At 47.2% G+C, this 20231-nt stretch overlaps 1 long non-coding RNA gene across 1 annotated transcript in view, besides 5 other annotated features; it reads right to left on the reverse strand.

The window, feature by feature from the left end:
- LINC01399 (long intergenic non-protein coding RNA 1399) overlaps window positions 1–20231 on the reverse strand; it is a 111233-nt gene that overhangs the window by 2375 nt on the left and 88627 nt on the right. The window lies entirely within an intron of this gene.
- Window positions 4711–4760: an enhancer, noted in NCBI's record as "active region_18890". NCBI's record gives its function as "activates an Ori minimal core promoter by ATAC-STARR-seq in GM12878 lymphoblastoid cells {active_cell/tissue: GM12878}" and the evidence as "EXISTENCE:reporter gene assay evidence [ECO:0000049][PMID:35858748]".
- Window positions 4801–4860: an enhancer, noted in NCBI's record as "active region_18891". NCBI's record gives its function as "activates an Ori minimal core promoter by ATAC-STARR-seq in GM12878 lymphoblastoid cells {active_cell/tissue: GM12878}" and the evidence as "EXISTENCE:reporter gene assay evidence [ECO:0000049][PMID:35858748]".
- Window positions 4871–5130: an enhancer, noted in NCBI's record as "active region_18892". NCBI's record gives its function as "activates an Ori minimal core promoter by ATAC-STARR-seq in GM12878 lymphoblastoid cells {active_cell/tissue: GM12878}" and the evidence as "EXISTENCE:reporter gene assay evidence [ECO:0000049][PMID:35858748]".
- Window positions 9129–9298: an enhancer, noted in NCBI's record as "active region_18893". NCBI's record gives its function as "activates an Ori minimal core promoter by ATAC-STARR-seq in GM12878 lymphoblastoid cells {active_cell/tissue: GM12878}" and the evidence as "EXISTENCE:reporter gene assay evidence [ECO:0000049][PMID:35858748]".
- Window positions 12938–13474: an enhancer, noted in NCBI's record as "NANOG-H3K4me1 hESC enhancer chr22:35531129-35531665 (GRCh37/hg19 assembly coordinates)". NCBI's record gives its function as "activates a minimal SCP1, AML or CMV promoter by ChIP-STARR-seq in naive H9 embryonic stem cells {active_cell/tissue: H9 hESC(naive)}" and the evidence as "EXISTENCE:reporter gene assay evidence [ECO:0000049][PMID:30033119]".

The raw sequence follows: 20231 nt of genomic DNA on the forward strand, positions 1-20231 counted from the left end.
GAGAAGCTATGTTAAGGGTTTGATGTGCTACCCAATGCAAAGTAGTACTTTTTTTTTTTTTTTTTTTGAGATTGAGTCTCACTCTGTCGCCCAGGCTGGAGTGCAGTGTCGCGATCTCAGCTCACTGCAACCTCTGCCTCCCGGGTTCAAGCAATTCTCCTGCCTCAGCCTCCTGAGTAGCTGGGACTACAGGCGCATGCCATCACACTCGGCTAATTGTTTGTATTTTTAGTAGTGACAAGGTTTCACTGTGTTAGCCATGATGGTCTCGATTTCCTGACCTCATGATCCTCCTGCCTCAGCCTCCCAAAGTGCTGGGATTACAAGCATGGGCCACCGTGCCTGGCTGCAAAGTAGTTCTTTTTATTGTTAGTAGTAATTATTGCTAACATATAACAAGTGGTTACCATGTGTCAGATGCTGTTCTGAGTAACTGTCTTGTTTCATTTTATTTATTTACAGCAACACTCTGTGGCATTCCCATTTTACATTTGGGAATCTTTGTATCATCCCCATTTCACAGATGGTAAAACCTAAGGCTGAAAGATGTGAGTAACTTGCCTGAAGTCATGCATTTTTTAACTAAACTTCTTATTTTGAGATAATCGGAGCTTTATAAGCAGCTGCAAGAAATAACAGAGAAATCCCCCAGTGGTAACATCTTGCAGAACTACCACAACCAGGATATTGACTGATACAATCAACATACAGAACATTTCATTCACCACAAAGATCCCTCTTGTTGCATATTGCCCTTTTATATCAATCCACTTCCCTCTAATCCCTACTGCACCTGAAACACTGTTTAGAGAATTTCTTCTGCCCATTCCTTTTTTTTTTTTTTTTTTTTTTTTGAGACAGAGCCTTGCTCTGTCACCCAGGCTGGAGTGCAGTGGTGCAATCTCCGCTCACTGCAACCTCTACCTCCCGGGTTCAAGCGATTCTCCTGCCCCAGCCTCCCGAGTAGCTGAGATTACAGCTGCCTGCCACCATGCATGGATAATTTTTGTATTTTTAGTAGAGATGGGGTTTCACCATATTGACCAGGCTGGTCTGGAACTCCTGACCTCAGGTGATCCACCCACCTCGGCCTCCCAAAGTGCTGGGATTACAGGTGTGAGCTGCCGCGCCCGGCCCTTCCGTCCATTCTTTTAGGACAGGTCCATTAGCGGCGGCAAATTCTTATTTTCCTTTATCTGAGAATGGCTTGATTTCCCCTTCATTCCTGAAGGATATTTTCACTGGGTATAGGAATCTGGATTGACATTTCCTAGAAACTCATCACCCGATTTTTCCTCAGATCCCAAAGTCCCTAGCCAGCCTGCCGCCTTCTCCACCTTTTAGAGTCTTATGTTTATTTTGTATTTCATGTCCAGGGTTGTTAGTGGCACACAGCAAGAGAAGTAAGGAAAAGTATGTCTGTCCTATCTTCCCAGAAGCAGACATTGCCCACACACATTTTAATAAGTGATTGAGTCTGGATTCAACCCTGAGCAGTCTCAGAGCCCATGATCATAACCACTAGGCTATACTTCCCCAGGCCACCTGAGTTTATTCAAGTGTGCTCCTCTGGAGACATAGGCCAAAATCTCTTCTCAAGAATATCAGTGGAAAGTCCTGTTGGTTCAGCACAGAGATCTTTGTAGAATGTGGACAGACACCCCTCAGACGTCCCACACTCACATTGCACTAGCATGTGAGCTAAGCCGTTTAAATATACATGTGAGACCCTCTTACAAAAGGCCAGGGACTTACTCTTTTCTTTCCTTCATCCATTATTTATTGAAGGCATGTAACCAGGGATACAAAATCGTAACTGCCTTTTAAATTGTTCTCTTATTTTGTACCAGAAACTTTGCAAAACACTTCACATACTGGCCACTCCTTGGACATCACATCAAATCTTATCAGCTTCATCTCTTATTCCAGCCACTGCTGTGAAGAGCAGAACTGTGCAGGTTTAGACCAATTTCATGAGTGTTAAACCTGACTGTGCCTTATCTCAGGCCCCTACTATGCATTTCTCACCTCCTGACCCCAGGTACCTGGGAAAAATCCACTCAACACTCACTAACATGCAAACTGGAAGTGCAGGGCAGCTGACCCTCTTCAGACAATTCTTGACCAGCAGGGGACAGACACCCTCTTTCTTTCCTCCAGTAGGTGGTTCTGAAACCTAACCCAGAAGGCTTTTAGAAGGAACTCTGGGCTGGGCGCGGTGGCTCACACCTGTAATCCCACCACTTTGGGAGGGCGAGGTGGACGGATCACCTGAGGTCAGGAGTTTGAGACCAGCCTGACCAACACAGTGAAACCCTGTCTCTACTTAAAATACAAAAATTAGCTGAGTGTGGTGGCATGTACCTGTAGTTCCAGCTACTTGGGAGGCTGAGGCAGGAGAATCGCTTGAACCTGGGAAGTGGAGGTTGCAGTGAGCCGAGATCTTGCCACCGCACTCCAGCCTAGGTGACAGAGTGAGACTCCGTCTCAAAAAAAAAAAAAAGGAACTCTGAAATTGAATAAGTAGTCCTCTTTAGAGGTGGCCAAACTCATCAAAAGGATAGCAGGTCTTTGTACTGGATTTACTTCTTTCCTGTTTTTATTCCCTGCTATCCTCGCTCCTCCTTCCTGGGATCACATTTCCAAATAAACTATCTTCACATAAACCTTTGGGGAAACCCAGGCAAAGACATTGAGTACTGGGAGTGGCCCTGGAAAGCAATCCAGAAAGTTAACATTCTGCAGCTATTAATAACCCCTGAAATTCTGTAGCATCACAACCACTCAGGCCTCCATCTGTGGTTGAACAGAATAAGGTACAGCTGGATAGTGAAATTCTGAATTGTGTAATGACTGTGGCACTTGACCAGCCTAAGGGTAAGAGTAATTATGAAGACTGTGCAGTGAGCCAGCTTTTCTTAACTGCTTGAGAAACGTTAAAAACGACAAATGACAGGCTCAGATAAGCCAACCTGTCAATTCAAGGCAGAGTTGTGCTCCATCTATAGCACTATTTAAGGATACTCTCATCTCCTGAAGCTACCTGGCAAAACGTGCTGAGAATCCGGCCTGGATCTGACTATAAGAGTGGAAGAATTACAGAGGAACCTAAATGCACAGCCACAAGACTCCTGTGATCATCAGAGGTCTCAGAGGAAATGAATGGGACCCTAAAATTCAGAACGAGGACAGTTAGGTAAACTAGCCTGAGAATGTTGGACCCCACATGCTGTGAACATATCAGGCCGATAGAAACATCCTCTTCCAGCTGGGCATGGTAGTTCATGCCTGTAATCCCAGCACTTTGGGAGGCCGAGGCGGGTGGATCACCTGAGGTCAGGAGTTCAAGACCAGCCTGGCCAACATGGTGAAACCCCGTCTCTACTAAAAATACAAAAATTAGCTAAGAGTGGTGGCACGTGCCTGTAATCCCAGCTACTCAGGAGGCTGAGGCAGGAGAACCACTTGAACTCGGGAGGCAGAGGTTGCAGTGAGCCGAGATTGCACCATTGCACTCCAGCCTGGGCGACAGAGCAAGACTCTGTCTCAAACAAAAAAAAAAAGAAAAAAGAAAAAGAAAAGAAAAGAAAAAAGAAAGAAACATCCTCCTCCCCTCTACAGAGCAGTGCTATGTTTCCTTGCTTAGAGAGCCTGCAGAGAGTGAGGCTGGTATCTCACAAATTCATGCTTGTCCTCCTCAAGATCTACCCCTACAGTCCCTCATTACTTTCAGGATGATAAACAGAATAAAGTCTAGGTACAACGCAAGCAGTAACACACAAATGCAGCTCTGGGTTGGGGTAGTTTTCACACTGAAGGAGTTGCAAGACCCAGCCAAAAAGACTCTCACGGGTTAGGGTAGAAGTATTGACACAAGGACACTCAATTGTGACCTGTTTTAACAAGGATACTGGGGGCCATCCTAACACTCTGTTGGGACAGCTCCTTGTAGCTGGAGCACGGTGATTTATTTGTTGAAGTTTTTTTGTTTGTTATGTTTTGTTTTGTTTTTGAGATAGAGTCTCACTCTGTCACCCAGGCTGGAGTGCAGTGTTGTGATCTCGGCTCACCGCAACCTCCGCCTCTCAGGCTCAAGCAATTCTGCCTCAGCCTCCCGAGTAGCTGGGATTACAGGTGCACACCACTACCGCCCAGCTAATTTTTGTACTTTTAGTAGAGTCGGGGTTTCATCATGTTGGCCAGGTGGTCTTGAACTCCTGACCTCAAATGATCCACCTGCTTCAGCCTCCCAAAGTATAATTAGATGAAGTGAAGATGCTAGAACTGCTCTGGCACAATATTGAGAAAGGGACCAGAAGGCTTAGGGAGGCAGGGCAGCTAGCTATATTTATTATGTGAGATGGGCAAACCCACCCTCCACAGAGGCAATAAGCCACATGCTGTTGGGAGGGAGGCAGGCCAGGGTGTAGGGAAAGCAAACCAGCATCTCTGAGAAGCCTGGGGCAGCCACCTCTGCAGGCGTCAGTTCCAAAATGTCATCTGGAGGATTGCTTTCAAGGGACACTTTCAGTTCCCGATGTTTATCCTGGATTCCCCCAAAAGTTTATGTGGATAGTTTATTTGGGAATGTGATCCCAGAATGAAGGCGTGAGGATCGGGGGAATAAAAACAGGAAAGAAGGGGAGCTAATACCATGACCTCTTATCCTTTTGATAAGAGTGGTAGATGTTGCCAGGGAACTGGTATGTCCAGTGTTGGTGGACATGGTGAATTCCAGTCAAATGGCAGCTGTTCATCTTCAGTGGCCAAGTGGATGAATTTACTGAGATAGCAAGGTTGAGTGGCAACGAGGGGGTTCCCTCATTATCCTTTGACCCAGGCTCTCCTTTGGGGGAAACCCAGATTTATCTGGCTGGGAACATTATCTAATTTTAGTATCACTGAATCCCACTAAGCTGAGATAGCCCCTGTCCTTTTTACAGGTGAGGAAACCGAAACTCTGAGAGGTCGCCTAAGTGGGGGGGATGAAAACCAGCGCTCTGACCACATCCTGGCCTTCGTCACCATGGGATTCCGAGGGACAAGCCCAGGGGAGTTGCAGCATCCTCTGTCTACCCTATGTACGTGACCCCCCTTTGCGGTTTTTAAACCCCACTGCTTGCTGACAGATTTGTCACCTGTTATAAGGGCAGAATCCATTATTATTATCAATAGTAGTGATGGATACTTAAATAATAAATGCACTAATCTCATTAAGCCACTTATTTAATTAATCTATTTTAATTCATGTAATTAGTTAATATGATAATGCTTCCTTTCATCCAAAGACAGCCTGCAGGCTCTCCAAGCATGGTGTATTATGATTAATGGATTTTCACATGTTGAGAAGGAAGGAGTTTGGGGAAATGCTCAAAGTCAGAGTTGCCTGGTGGGGGTCGCTTAGCCCATGGAGAAGCCCACTGCTCTCTATCTGATGACTGCTCTCCCGCCCACAGGCACTAAGCTCTCACTAGCTTTCTTGACTTTGCACTTACCTGGAAAGTCCTCTCCTTTTCTCCCTGTGTAGCAATACCACCCATCCTTCAAGACTCAGCTTAGGAGTCACCTCCAGCAGGAAGCCACCTGACCTTTCCCAGCTGGATTAGACAGCTCTCCTGAGATACTCTGTGTAGCACATGTCAGAACTATGGAATGTCCCCTGCTTAAAAACAAATGCTTTGAGAGAAAGGGCTGGGCTGTGACTACAGCATCAGCAACCACAAACACAGCAACCACCATCATTCATTGAGCATCTATTCTGCACCAAGCATCTTCCCAAGCACATTGCAAAGATAGTCTCTTTCCGTCTTCACCCAACATCAAACTGGGAATTGTTTCCTCATTTCTTTTGGAATAAGGAAACAGAAACTTCAAGCAGTTAGATAACTTGCCCAGAGCCACCCACCAGAACCAGGATTCAAACTCAGGTTCAGATGGTCCCAAAGCCTGAATCCTTAACTACCATGCCAGACGTCTTACTTGTCTTTGCAGCCTCCACCCCTAGCACAGGGCCTTACTCAATACTTGTATAATGAATGAATGCCCCAAATGCTTTCTTAACAAATTTGGATCTCATAGTGAGAGAAACAAGAAGACCTTGTGGCTGAAAGGGGAGTGATCATCAGCTTAGAGGAATTCCGTTATTATGTTGATCTTTCATGGTAATGTTTAAGGACATTAAAATTTTCAATACCGTTGATGGAATTACATTTTACTCTAAGGTCTAAAACCACAAACAAACAAAAATAGTAATTCCATTAGTGGCTGAAAATGGTAATAATCCTGGTGAGTATGAATTTTATTGCTATAGCAACTGGAAAGCCCAGAAATGATAAATAAAAAGTTCTTACATGCTGTGAGGAGTACATTTTTGTTGCCAATACTCCATCAAACATTTTAATTCCATTAGTAGTTAAAAATTGTAATAATACCCTTGACAATAATTTTTATTGTTATACCTGTAAAACACAAAGATAAGAAATAATTTTGTCAACTGGAACATGGTGATCATAACTCAGTGGTATTAGTGAGAAGCCTGTGATTCAGTTTCAGTGTGACTAGCATCTCGATTTGGAGCCTTAACACCTGAAAATGTGACTCAAAAGCTATTTCAAACTTAAGCCATTTCCCTCTTTCATTTCTAGTGTTCTCATGGCAAAGAAAGAACGCACTCAGAAGTAGGTTGACAGTGGCTCTGCCACTATCTTGTGACCTACCCTGGCTCTCAGTCTTCTAATCTGTTAAATGGGACCACATAGGCTCTGTTTTAGTTTAGTCTAATACCTGGGGATACAGTCATGTATTATGTAGATGGTGACCCTGACCACACGGAGCTTATGGTTTTGGGGGAAGATCGATATTATTTATTATCAGCAGCATTGAAGGGAGTGATTTTCAGGAGCTCACCCAGAGGCCACCAAGAAGCTCCTCCACCTGCGACCCTGATGTAGGTGACTCTCAAGAAGCTCCCCTGGAAGCTTCCAGGCTCAAGCCTGTACACCTCCCCGGCTGCTATGCCTCTGGAGAGCAAAACCTTCTTCCTCTTCCATGGCTTATACTTCTCATGAGCACTTCCATTGGCCGACTCTACCCCAGAACAATCTTAGGAAGGGCATTCTAGGAAGGCTTCTCAGAGGAAGTAACATTTAACTTAAAAACCAAAGGATGAGGGGAGGCCGAGGCGGGCGGATCACAGGGTCAGGAGATCGAGACCATCCTCGCTAACACGGTGAAATCCCATCTCTACTAAAAATACAAAACAAAATTAGCTGGGCATGGTGGCAGGCACCTGTAGTCCCAGCTACTCAGGAGGCTGAGGCAGGAGAATGGCATGGACCCGGGAGGTGGAGCTTGCAGCGAGCCGAGATAGCGCCACTGCACTCCAGCCTGGGCAACAGAGCGAGACTCCATCTCAAAAAAAAATAAAAAACAAAGAATGAGTAACACTTGGTCAGGGGAAAAGAATAGAGAGGAGCTGGGAAGGGAGAGGAGAAGGAAAAATAATCCCAGGTAGTGGGAACAGCATGTGCAAAGTAGAGCTTTGCTGTCACTAGCCACCTCTGGGGATCTCCCGCAGCTCAGTGAAATTCCCCACTGGTGGACTGGGAGTAGGGTAGGGGATGGCACAGCGGTTTCTCAAATGTGGTGATGGAGTTTACTCCACCAGTTTCATCAAGTGCTATCATCAGTAGATTTCATCATGGTGCTTATAATTTTTTTTTTTTTTTTTGAGACAGAGTCTCTGTCGCCCAGGCTGGAGTGCAGTGACGCAACCTCGGCTCACTGCAACATCTGCCTCCCAGGTTCAAGCGATTCTCGTGCCTCAGCCTCCCAAGTAGCTATGATTACAGACGTGAGCCACCACGCCCAGCTAATTTTTGTATTCTTAGTAGAGATGGGTTTTCGCCATGTTGGCCAGGCTGGTCTCGAACTCCTGACCTCAGGTGACCCACCCGCCTCAACCTCCCAAAGTGCTGGGATTACAAGCGTGAGCCACCGCACCCGGCCGCTTATACTTTTTTATGAAAAGTTCGCCATGAATATTGCATCTCTGAGTGAACAGAATGGTGACTCACGTTTTGCAACGTATATTTCTCATCTAATTTATTTTTGACAGTCCTGTCATATTTTTGACAATTAAATAACTTTTCCCTCTCCTTGGGATTTAAGGTCATGCAGCCTCCACGACTCCTCCCACCTATATTGCCTCAATATTCTCCCATATCAGCTAGCTCGTGATTATAAAAATATTTAGAAGAAAGAATAAACAGAACTAGGTCTTTAGGGGTGGTGTGGAGAGGGAGAACAAGGAGATCATGGGTTCAGTTTTGAATATGTGGATTTTGTGATACACTGGAGACATCCAAGTAGGGATGACAAAGGACAATTTATATATTGGTCTGGAACCCAGCAGAGAGAGCAGATATAAATTCTGAAGACAGGGAATGCAGGTGGCAACTGAAAGCATGGCGGCAGATGAGAAGGTAGTGAGGAAGAGCAGAGGAGGCAGGATGGAGCTTTGAGGAAAATCAACATTCAGTGCCTGGTAAAGGATGCTCAACCATAATGGAGAAGACAGAGGACAAGAATCCAGAGAACTAGTAGCTGAGCCAGGATACTTTGTATCAAGTAAGTCAAGTGGGAGCTGATTCAAGGAGATAGGTCTGAAAGTGTCCAGGACTTTAGCAACGTGGAGAATGTCCATGATGCCCTCCCTGAGAGCTGTTTGTTGGAGACAATGGGGAAGAATCCAAATAGGGGTGGGTTGAGGAGGGAGAGGATGGGGAGAAGGAACAGGGACCAAAAGTACAGGCAACCTTTGAAGAAGTGTGGCAGCCAAGGGGAGGGGGCAGGCAAAGGCAGCCACAAGGGAGCGTGGGGCCAAGGTTGTTGTGATGGTGGTTGTGTTTCAAAACACAGGTAGAATTTAAGCATATTTTAAAGATCCAAGACTGCAAAATGCAGGGTGAGGGGAAAGGCAACTAAAGCAAGGCCAAGCTAAGGCAGGTCCATGGGGAGTGCGGGGAGGGGGCGGTGGCAAAACTTAAGGAGACGCTCATTCCTTAAACGGCAGGGCCAGCGTTTGCCCAATCCTGAGAGCACATGCCTCCTTAATTTTACATCCTAGAAGCCTGACTGGCTTCACCCTGGCCAGAGCCCAGAACTGAGATCTTAGAGTCCTTGAGGTGACAGCTCCAGAGCACAAGGGTGACTCTCAGAGTGTTACCCTTTTCCAAAAAAAAAAAAAAAAAAAAAAAAGCTTGACAAGGAAAGTTATAATCAAACTTGCAGGACTTGAAAGAACTCTAGAGGCCACCTCCTTCTGTGGCTTTTCAGGATGTCTTTAGCTGTGAACACTTCCTTTAATCTCATGTGGAGGCCCAATAAGTAAAACAGGAAATGCAGATGGCTCTAGTGGAAGCTGGGAGCCAGAAGCCTTGAGCTCTGGTCAGGTCCACAGAAAGCTTAAGCTGCACGGATCACAGTTTGCAAGTCTCTGGGCTGGTTCAAGATTTCCACGTATTCATTTGTGAATTCATTCCAGCTTTCAGTGCAGCCTCTGAGGCTGTGGGGGAGGCTCAGCAAAGGGAAGCCCGATAACACCCTTGCATCTGCAGAATCATCTCAGTTTCATGGGTGGACTTTGCTTCTACTAACCTGACACATTTAAATTAAATTTTTTTATCTCTGCCCTGCCTTGTTCCCCAAAGGATTTAAGGTAGTGTACCAAGATATACGTGAGACACAAGATAAAGCACCTAATGACATAGACAAGGAGATAGCAAAATAAGCAAAGGGAAGTTAAAGGAAGAGAGGCTTAGATCTGGGATTTGCTCAGAGTCCCAGCCACTTACTGCAAAGTGGTCGCAGATTTGACTCTAAGCTTTCTAACAATAAAGCAAACAATGCTTCTAGCAGATGAAGGCCAGATAATTGAGGATTCATCTGCCCATTAAAAAACAACACCATCAAGAAGATTTGAGTTAGAGCCACAAAAATAGAATTTGATTTGCAGAATTTTAATTTACTCCTGACATTCTAAGAGTGTTCCCAAGGTGTAAAGAAAGGTATTCTGTCATAGACCAGATGTTGACAAGTCAAAGCTACCTTGTGTTAAAAGAGCTAGTTAGTCTCAAAAAAAAAAAAAAAAAAAGAGCTAGTTAGTGCCTACTAACTCCTCTCTTCCAGAATGTTCTGGGTCCTTGAGATATGAGTGTGGAGGCCATGACAAGAACAGAAAGTGCAGTTCAAGACAGTTGTTCCTGGGGTGCCGAGAGACTGGGGGTCTGTGGGTGACAGGAGCACCTTGCCGACTCTAAAGTCTCAGCTAACCTTTTTCTGACTCCAGGAATTCACCCAGGAGCGTTGGCTCTTAATACAGTCTCCTATGTCCACTTTCTCCTATGAAGCAATATTTTCCGCTGTATTTATTCATGAATTATTTTATTCATCAAACATTTATTAATGTCTACCATATGTCATTTATTTTCACATCCGTTATCTCACTCAATCCTCAGACAACCTTGTGGGGAAAGTATTCATGATTCTTCCCATTTTATAGATGGGAAAGTTGAGGCTTAAAGAAGTTAAAGTAACTAATCCAAGGTTTCACAGCTAGTAAGTGGTAGAGCTTAGTTTTGAGCCAAATATCCTGACCCCCAGCCTGGTGCCTTTTGCATTGTGTCATGGAACCACCTGAACTGAACACATCAAGGCTGAGGATCAGAGATTGCTAGTGGCTCCCAACCCAGCTGATATCCAGGAACCAGGAAAACCAAACCAGGGGACCAAGAGGCTTGTTGGAATGAAAGGGAAGTCTGCTGTCTTGAGACGGTGGGATCAGAATCGGTATCCTTGTATGCAAAATTCAAGCAATTATCTCTCCTTGGCAGGTTTGCTATTGTTTAGAGCCACCACGTACATGTGTGCAGGTCGTGCACTGCACAACTCTAGAGGGTATCATTCATAGCAGCAGCAGCATGGATTTGTATTTTACTATTACGGTCTTCAAGCAGGTAGCAAGAAAGAGTACCAATGAGTAGGCATCTTTTCCTAATTTGCACATAGATGCCCAGTGTCAGCAGGAGTGCTGGTGTGTGCCTCACAGGTGTGTGTTTAGTGACTGGCACAGAGAAAGCCCTTGATAAAGGCTAGTTTCCCATATCTCCTTCTGTAATATGAGAACCATCAAACTTGCTCAGCCTGCCTTACAATGCAGTTCTGAAGATCAAAATAAAATAATAGAATGAAAGTGTTTTCACAGACGCACCGGGCCACTGTTGAGTACAAGTATAAGGAATTAATGGTTTGGCTAAGGAAGTCGAGGGGAGGCTCTGGCACCAAGGCACCGAGACACCAAGGCTAGGTCCCAGTCCACTCAGGGAACAGGTTATGTGCTTCCCATGGAGTCCGCTGCCAGCTTGGGCTTCTGCAGTCGAGTTGGGGGCAGGGCCCCTATGCCAAGCAGAGGGAGCTCTGACGCTCACTGGCAGAGGAGACAGGGAGAAGCAGAGGCTTCCTGGACCCTCATGTCAAAGCAGTTTGCGGGAGAAAGGAAGAGAAGGGGAAGCATAATATCCACCGAGCAGGCAGCGGGAGATGCAAAAAGCAGACAGAGACTGAAAGAGAAATGAGAGGGAGAGGGGTGAGGAAAGAGAGCAAGGGAGAGGCTGAGAGGGATGGAGCAGGGCAGCCAGAAAACAGAGAGTGAGAGCAGGATGAGATGGAGACAAGGGAGGAGGAAGGAGAGAGAGGCGACCTGAGAAAGACCCAGGAAAGAGGTGAGCGAATGTGCGTGTGTGTGCATGTGTGTGTGCCTGCGTGTGTGTGCGCGTGTGCGCAGGTGGGGGTGAGGAGGAAAGGAGAGGAAAGAGGAGGGGAGAGGAGGGCCCTGAAGGAAAGGGGAGGGAAAAGGAGAGACTGGAGTTCAAATCCCAGCTCTTCTCTTCGCTGTCTCTGGAAGGTCCCTTAACATTCCTAGTTTGTTTCCTCAACCACGAAGTGTGGATAATAATCTTTACTTCTCCCTGCCCTCCCTCCACCCTCCCCAGTCCCACCCACTCCTTGGACTGCTGCAGGCACCAGGAGATGACAGATGTCAGTCTTTGGAGTTTGGCTGATGGAGGGAATGCCGGTATATTCCTGAGAAGCGTGAGTTTTTCTACTCAGCCTGGTGGGCTTTGTGCGGCCCCTTGCTTTGGCTGGGCTCGGGGAAGTCGCAGTGCCTGTTATAGGGCCTGGCAAGAGGACCATCAAGATGAGGGCTTTGTCTGGATCTAGGAGAGCTAGATTTCTTTCACCGCTTCCTTTCACCAAATGGAAAAGCCAGTTTTGGGATGTTTTCTCACAACTACCCTGAAACTCTCAGACAGCTCTCAGGTGCCTTCCCTATGTGGGCTCCCCCACACCAGGGTTTTGGGACTCAGGAGTGGTTGACAAGGAGGTAACTGTAGAATAGAAGCCTTAGAAATCAGATGGAGGTGGCTGGCATTTCTCCTCTCTTTTCTCAGTGTGAAGAGGCCATAAAACAATTAGAGCTCCATGTTGTTCTCCCAACAGAGCAGGGCGGGTGTCTCTGCCTTGTTAGTGTAATCAGCACCGTGATAAGGGTTCCCCTGCAACTGTAGGAGAAGATAGGCTGCCCCATAAACCTGGGTCACCAGCAGGGCACGGGGGTGAAAAGGTAAAGGGAGGAGCCGTGGCACCTCATGCTGTCCCAGGGAAAGCCTCCAGCTGGAATTCTGACCTGATAGGGGAGGGCCGCAGGCCCCTCAGCCTGAGTACCTTCTTCCACCGTGGCGCTTGTCCCAGACTTGGGGAAGGTGCCTGGCGGGTAGGCATCAGAGGTTAACCCACTTCTCACCAACAGCCAGGGTTGACTGTAAGTCTGGAGGCACAGGGACAGGCAGACCATTTGTCATTGAACCATTTCTGTTCTGAGCCTCTGCCACCCTGCCCCTCCCCCAGGGCCAACTAGACCACCATTACCTTCCCCCGCCCCCCTTCATTCAGCCTCAGGAGCCACAGGGGGGCTCTAGGACTCTGCTCTAGCTATCGCCTGCATCAGCCCTGCTTGGACAGTGCCCAGGTCCTGCTGGTGGTTAAATATTCTGAATGCCTCCCCTGCCAACAACCCTGATTTCCTGAGCGTGAAGATCTTAGAGGAGAATGGCTCCATCTGTATTTGAAAGCAGGAGGCCAGGTAGAGGACAGAAGAAGGAATAGCCCTTTCGCCTGCCCCAGGGGAGTGACTGTGCCTTTCATCAAATGCTTTCTTTCATTTAATCCTAACCGCAGGGAAGTGGCACTGCTCTTTGAGAGTAACAAGAAAGAGAAAGTAATTTACCAAATTTCCTTCTCTGTGTCTTAAGAAGAGACTTTGGCAAACTGAGGGTGAAGGGTGAAAGCCCTAACTCTCAGGCACCCTGAGAAGGAAAGGAACTCCAGATTGAACATCAGGGCCTGGTCACAGCCTAGATGTTGTTACCATTTGGATAGGGTTCCAGAGACCGGCGGGCAAGCGCTGAGGCCAAAACCCTTTGAGGGTGAGATGCAAACAGGGTCGGGAGGCCAGTGAGTTGACAGTTTCTCTTCATGACTCAAGATGTGTCCTTGGCTGTGACTTCCACCTCCTGGTTGTCAATATCCTCATCTATAAAATGAGAGGCTTGGATTTAATAATACAAATTCTATCTCCTCCTTCTCTGATTCTATGATTCTCATCCAACCACTTATCCACTGGATGGAAGGAATGTCTGTGAAGGAGGCAAAAGAGGAGGTGATTCTATCTGGCTGCAAGAAGGCCCAGTGTGTCTTGAAGAGCACAGGATTAGGAGACAGACCTGGACAGGGCTGCCATGTATGTTTGTTGAAGTTCCACACTGCACAACGGTGCTCGGCTGAGGGGGCCAGGGGGGTTGCAATACAGCCTGGGCTCTGCTCAGCAAGCTGTGCACGCTGGTGTGGGGTTTCATCCACCTGAGGAAATGCACCGTCTTCTAATGTGTGCAAATGTGCCACATAGGCTAGTGGCAATTCTGACCTTAGGAGAAGATGCAGAAACCAATAGGGAGAGGGAGCTCATTAAATCCAAGGTTTGAGACTTTTTAGCTCTGTGACCTCAGCTGATTTAAAGAATCTGAACTTCGCTGGGCGAAGTGGCTCATGCCTGTAATCCCAGGACTTTGGGAGGCCGAGGCGGGTGGATCGCCTGAAATCAGGAGTTTGAGACCAGCCTGACCAACATGGTGAAACCCCATCTCTACTAAAAATACAAAATTAGTCGGGCGTGGTGGTGGACACCTGTAATCTCAGCTACTTGGGAGACTGAGGCAGGAGAATCACTTGAACCCAGGAGGCAAAGGTTGCAGTGAGCCAAGACTGCACCATTGCACTCCAGCCTGGGCAAAAAGAGCGAAATTCTGTCTCAAAAAAAAAAAAAAAAAAAGAACCTGAACTTCAGTGTTGTGATAAAAACTGGGTTTGTTGTCATTTCCTGGCAGAAATGATGTGAGGCTGAGCCCAGAAAATAAATCTCCAGCATGAAGCACAGAACCTGAACCATAACAGGTACTCAGTTGAAAGAGTTTTCTTCCCGCCTCCTCCCTACCTGGGTTTCTCTTGGGAAAATGTTCATCAGTGTTTTGGCATTGGAAATGGCTTCCTTTGCCTGGAAATTCGGCCCTGAGAGTCCATCTGCTGGTGGGAGCCTCCCCTTACCACCTGCCCTCACCTCTCAATGGTATTGCCCTAGCATTCCATTTCCATCTTAGAATGCTCACCAGGGTAAGACGTGAAGCCTCCCTACAGCAAGAAAGTCGAGACCAGGAAGAAGTCTGGTGAAGGTGTCACACAATAATTGTGGGATTGGATTTTCATTTTTGCATGTGAACCCAAGCACTTTCAACAGGTAACGCCCTCTCTCTAGTGGTTTCTGCATCTTCTCTCCCCTCTCACCACTTGAGAAACAAAGAAACTAAAAGGTGTGCATGGATCGTGAATGTTCAAGCTGGAAGGCCTCAGAGAGGTCATCTGGTTCCATCTATCCACCAAGGACGCTTTAAAGCATCATCAGGCATTATCCAATTATCACACTCTCTTGAACTCACCCGCTGACTGTTTCCCACTGTGCTGAGCACAAGTTGCTAACAGCTTTCTCAGTGGGCATAATTACCCAATTTTAGGGCTGGAGCGGCACTGAAAGGTGCCAATGGGGATTCACTTAGCGGTACTGTCCCCAGCTACACTCTCCCGCTGTGTTCCAGGTTACTCATTCTTGATCAAGTCTTGCCTTCAAGACTTTACCACCACAGTACTTTTTGCCTCTTAGAATTTAAAGAATAGGAATAACTTCTAGAAAAATCTGAAACAGTGCTTTGTATACACTGGGCCCTGCTCCCAAGCCTTCAGTGGCTCTCTATTGCCCACAGAATTAATCCCAGTTCATTTAACTGGCCCTTTGTTCTATATTATGGAAAAACAGAAACAAATGGCACTTGGTTTATCCTCTTAAGGAGTCCAAGTTCTACTGAGAGTGATGGGTACAAGTAAGTCAGGAATGAATAAGACAGCAACCACAATAATTGCTGCCAGTGGACATGGAGGATGGAGGAACGGCATGTGTGTGGGGACTTGTGGGCCTTTGACGGTGGAAAGTATTTATTCATTTTACAGGCAGAGCATGAGACCAGAGAGGAAAAATGAGTTATCTCAGGTTGCACAGTGAGACAGAGGCAGAGCCAGAACTAGAACCCAGGACTCCTGGGTTCTCTTTGTTCTGTTTCAGTGTTTCTTTTATATGGTTCTTAATTGTTGAGTTCCCTCCTTTCTAGAGCACAGCTACAGCCTGGCACTGTGAAAAGAGTGCCAGGATACTGGGTGAGGGGTCTGGAGTCTCAAGTGTGAGTCCTGGCTGGCTCTCTGCCATGTGACACTTTGGGGAGATACTTAAGCTCTCTGAATCTTCTTTTTCTGATCTGTTGTTCATCTACCAGAATTCAGCTCCATTAGGGCAAGGAAAACATCTCATTCTTCTTCCCCAGGATAGGTCTGGGGGACTTTGAGAAAGACAATAACAGATCACAAACAGGGATATTCAGCAGTCTGGGGCTTGGGAGACAAAACTGTGGGGAAAATAAAGGTTTGGAAGGGGCCAGCATATTGAAGACTTGGCAATGGATGAATGGAAGACAGGGAGAGGAGAATGTGAGGGGGGAAGAAGGGTCTCTCGCACTGTTGACTCCCCCTCCAACACTGAGTAAATATTGAGAAAACACCTATTAAAAGGTGAAGGTTGGCCAAGGGTATAAGCTCACTGCTCAGGCCTCTCCCAACTACAGAACCAGAGAGATGCTGGGACCTTTGCTCTCAGCACCTGAGAAGGAAAAGCTTGGCGGATTCCACTCAGTCTCTGCCTTTGCTGACAGCATCACCATGGACAAGCCACCACAATGCTACAAGCCTCAGTTTGCTCACCTGTGAAATGGGGGTGGTACTGACTCAGAGGCTATGGGAAGGGTTCCATGTATAGACAATCTGGGACAGAAAGGCGTGGCTGGCATTGCTCCAGGCACATTGCAGTTATCAACGCATTCTAGTCCAGGCCCCCGAATCACATCTGATGAGCTGTGGTGATCACCAATGCCGGAGTTGCCTGCAATGACTGCACTGCCACAGCAATTGGCCCTTGTAAGGCCATTTGTCTCATTTTCTTCCCATCTCCCAACAGGTGGCGAAGTTGAATGCACCACATTCAGAATGCACAGAAAACCCAGAATGGGACTGCTTAGGAGTCAGGCTGTGCTGGCTAATTAAAACAGGAGCATTTGTAGACAGGAATGTGGCTCTCTTGAAAGTCCAGGAATTCTGGGTAATCAACACTCAACCATCAACAAACACTCTCTATTCCAGGCACTGGGAGCACCCAAAAAAAATAAATAAATAAGTCAAAATTTTGCCTCCAGAGGCCCCATGAGGCCTTCATCTACTGGGGAAGAAGACAGGCAAGTAAATTGGAACATCACAGCCCACAGCAATATGTGTCAGAAGACCAGGAATGCCAGGATCCACGAGAGTGCAGGGGAAGCATGCTAAGATGTAGAGGAGGTGACACCTGGGCTGAGTGTTGAAGGTTGAATAGGAGTGTGCCACCCAGGGAAATTGCATTCCAAGCAGAGGAGATGGCCCACATCAGGTCTGAGAGAGGGAGGCTAGGAGAGAGAAAATAAGTCCCCCTCAGTCCTGCCATGAGGAGGGCCAAGGGGGCTCACCATCAATGATGTCAAGCAACAACCAGGCCACCAAGCCAACTCAGGCCCCTTCCTGGAAGAGCAGCCCAATGGCCAACTGGATCATCCAGTTGGCTCCAGATATTTTATACTAGACCTCGGGCACCTCCCAGCCCAACTCCCTCACACCCCAATCTGCCAAACACCTGCCCTTCCTTCAAGGCAAGTCCAAGGGACACCTCCTCTGCAAAGTTTTTCCTGATTCTGCCAGAAAACCTCTGTTATGGAACCCGGGTGTATTAGCGTCAACTGTCTGCTTCTGCACTCAGCTGTGAGCTCCTTGAGGGCAGGGGCTGTGCTTCATTATAATAGCACAGTGTGTAGAACCCAGAAGGTACATAATTAATATTAATAACAGCCATGACGACTGTAATGACTAACAGTCATTGAACACTAGTGCCAGACATCAGGCTTAGGGATAGGCTCTAAGTATCATCATCATCCTCATTAGCTCATTGAATCCTCGCAAAAGCCCTATGAGATAGCGCTATTGCTATCCCCATTCTACAGATGAAAAAACTGAGGCTCAGAGAGAGGACGTGGCTTGCCCAAGGTCAGACAGCTAGTACATTTCCAGGCCAGAATTCAAACTGACCCCAAAGGCTGGGTCTTATCCACTGAGTATCATGCTTTGTTATGTGATAAATTTGATTGAACTGAATTGATGCCATAATAAAAGGGGGGAACCAGCCAAGCACAGTGACTCACACCTATAATCCCAGTGCTTTGGGAGGCCATCGCAGAAGGATGGCTTGAGGCCAGGAGTTCGAGACCAGCCTGAGCAACATAGCGAGATCTCATCTCTACTTAAAAAAAAAAAAAAAAAAAAAAAAAGTTTTTAATTGGGGAGCAAAGTTATTCAAACGAGAAGAAAAAACTGTAGGAAATGACATTTGAACTGGGGGAGGAGCATTGCCAGGAAGGTTATTCCAAGAAGAGGAAATAACAGGAGCCCAAGGTTAGAAACCACTGCTTGAGGAATGTGTTCAGCATGTGCTTGGCAGTAGCTAACTGCTCATTATATGTGTTTTAAAATTCAAATTGAGGCTGGGCATGGTGGCTCACACCCGTAATCCCAGCACTTTGGGAGGCCAAGGTGGGCAGATCACCTAAGGTCAGGAGTTCGAAACCAGCCTGACCAACATGGTGAAATCCCATCTCTACTAAAAATACAAAAAATTAGGCGGGCGTCATGGCATGTGCCTGTAATCCCAGCTACTCAGGAAGCTGAGGCAGGAGAATCACTTGAACCCGGGAGGCAGAGGTTGCAGTGAGCCAAGATAGCACCATTGCACTCCAGCCTGGGCAATAAGAGTAAAACTCTGTCTCAAAAAAAAAAAAAAAATCAAATTCAATTGGAATTTGTGAATCATCATGGGTAATAGCGTGTAAATTGCTCGGAAGAGAGTAGCAGGAGGAAGGTCTGGAAAGACACGTGGGGCCAGCTCAGGAAAGGCTGGGAATGCCAGGCTAAGGGCTTGGCTCTGACCTGAGGCTTTTAAGAAAAGATCTTCATTGGGAAAGGAGACTTTGGGTTTCAGGGCTGGCTCACAGGGAACGGAAATTTCACTCTTAATGAGAGAGATTATGGGGAGAGAGCGCCCCCACATGGGAGAGCCGGCTGCTCCCCTGAGTAATTCAAGGCTGTGATGTCTTGGGCCACATGGCACAAGGGGGTGGATCAGCTCCATGTCTGACATTTGTGGGGCCTAGAGTGAGAGTTTAAATAGAGCCGATATGGCATCCCCAGTACTGCCCCTAGACCACTGCATGTTCCAGGGCCCCCTCGCTGTACCCTGCCTTCCTCAAACACTCTACATCCTCTGCCAGGGCCTATGACCACCCATGGCCAGCAGTGCCAACCTAGGGGTGCAATCCAGGCCCAAGCTGGGTCCCACGTGGGCTGCAGTCCCCATTTCTCCCCTGTGGGGCACTCTCTGGCCCTCTCCCTTCCCCCAGCCTCCCTCCTCTGGCCCAAGGCCAGACTCCTGCTCCAGAAAGGAGCCAGCAAGCAGATGGCTCCCACTGGCCGGTTTTTCTTGCATGAGATGACCTGTGATTGTGCCAGTAGACTGGCACCAACACTTATTCGGGGTGACAAATTGTTTATATAAACAGGGACATTAAAATATTTGCCCCAGGCCAGGTGCGGTGACTCATGCCTGTAATCTCAGCACTTTGGGAGGCCAAGGTGGGCAGATCATTTGAGTTCAGGAGTTCAAGACCAGCCTGGCCAACATGATGAAACCGCATCTCTACTAAAAATACATAAATTAGCCAGGAATAGTGGTGGGTGCCTGTAATCCCAGCTACTCTGGAGGCTGAGGCAGAAGAATTGTTTGAACCTGGGAGGCAGAGGTCGCATTGAGCCAAGATCGCCCCACTGCACTCCAGCCTGGGCAACAGAGTGAGACTCTGTCTCAAAAAAAATAAAAATAAAAATTGCCCCAGCTCCTACACACCCTATAAAAATTTGCCCTAGCTCCCACACACAAGAAGCAGCCCTGACCGTACACTTAAATATTTAAAAGTTATCACTCAAACTAAGTTCATAAAATACATTCTATCCACCTACCATGACAAATAGACCTTCATAGCAACCTAGAAGTCTGGGTCCAAATTTAGGCTACTCCAACTCCTTGGTGTTCCATGCTAGAACATGGTGGGGAGAGGGTTTGAGGCATGAGCCCCCAGCGTGCAGCTGCTCGTGTCTCTGTCCTGAATCCTGTGTTCCCCGGTCCCTACCTGCACACATGTGGACCTTCTGGCTGCACATCCAAGCTCCATATGCCCCCAACCAACTTCCCCTTGGTACTCTCTGGGCTGGGAGTGTACCCACCAACAGTGGGGTCCACCTTGTAAAGAATAAGGAAAGGAAAGAGGGCTCCAGGTACTAGAAGTTGCCTTGAGGCCCTTTGGCCAGAAAATTCCAGGGTTCTGAGTACC

This window comes from Homo sapiens, chromosome 22, assembly GCF_000001405.40.
Source record: "Homo sapiens chromosome 22, GRCh38.p14 Primary Assembly".
Lineage (NCBI taxonomy): Eukaryota > Metazoa > Chordata > Mammalia > Primates > Hominidae > Homo > Homo sapiens.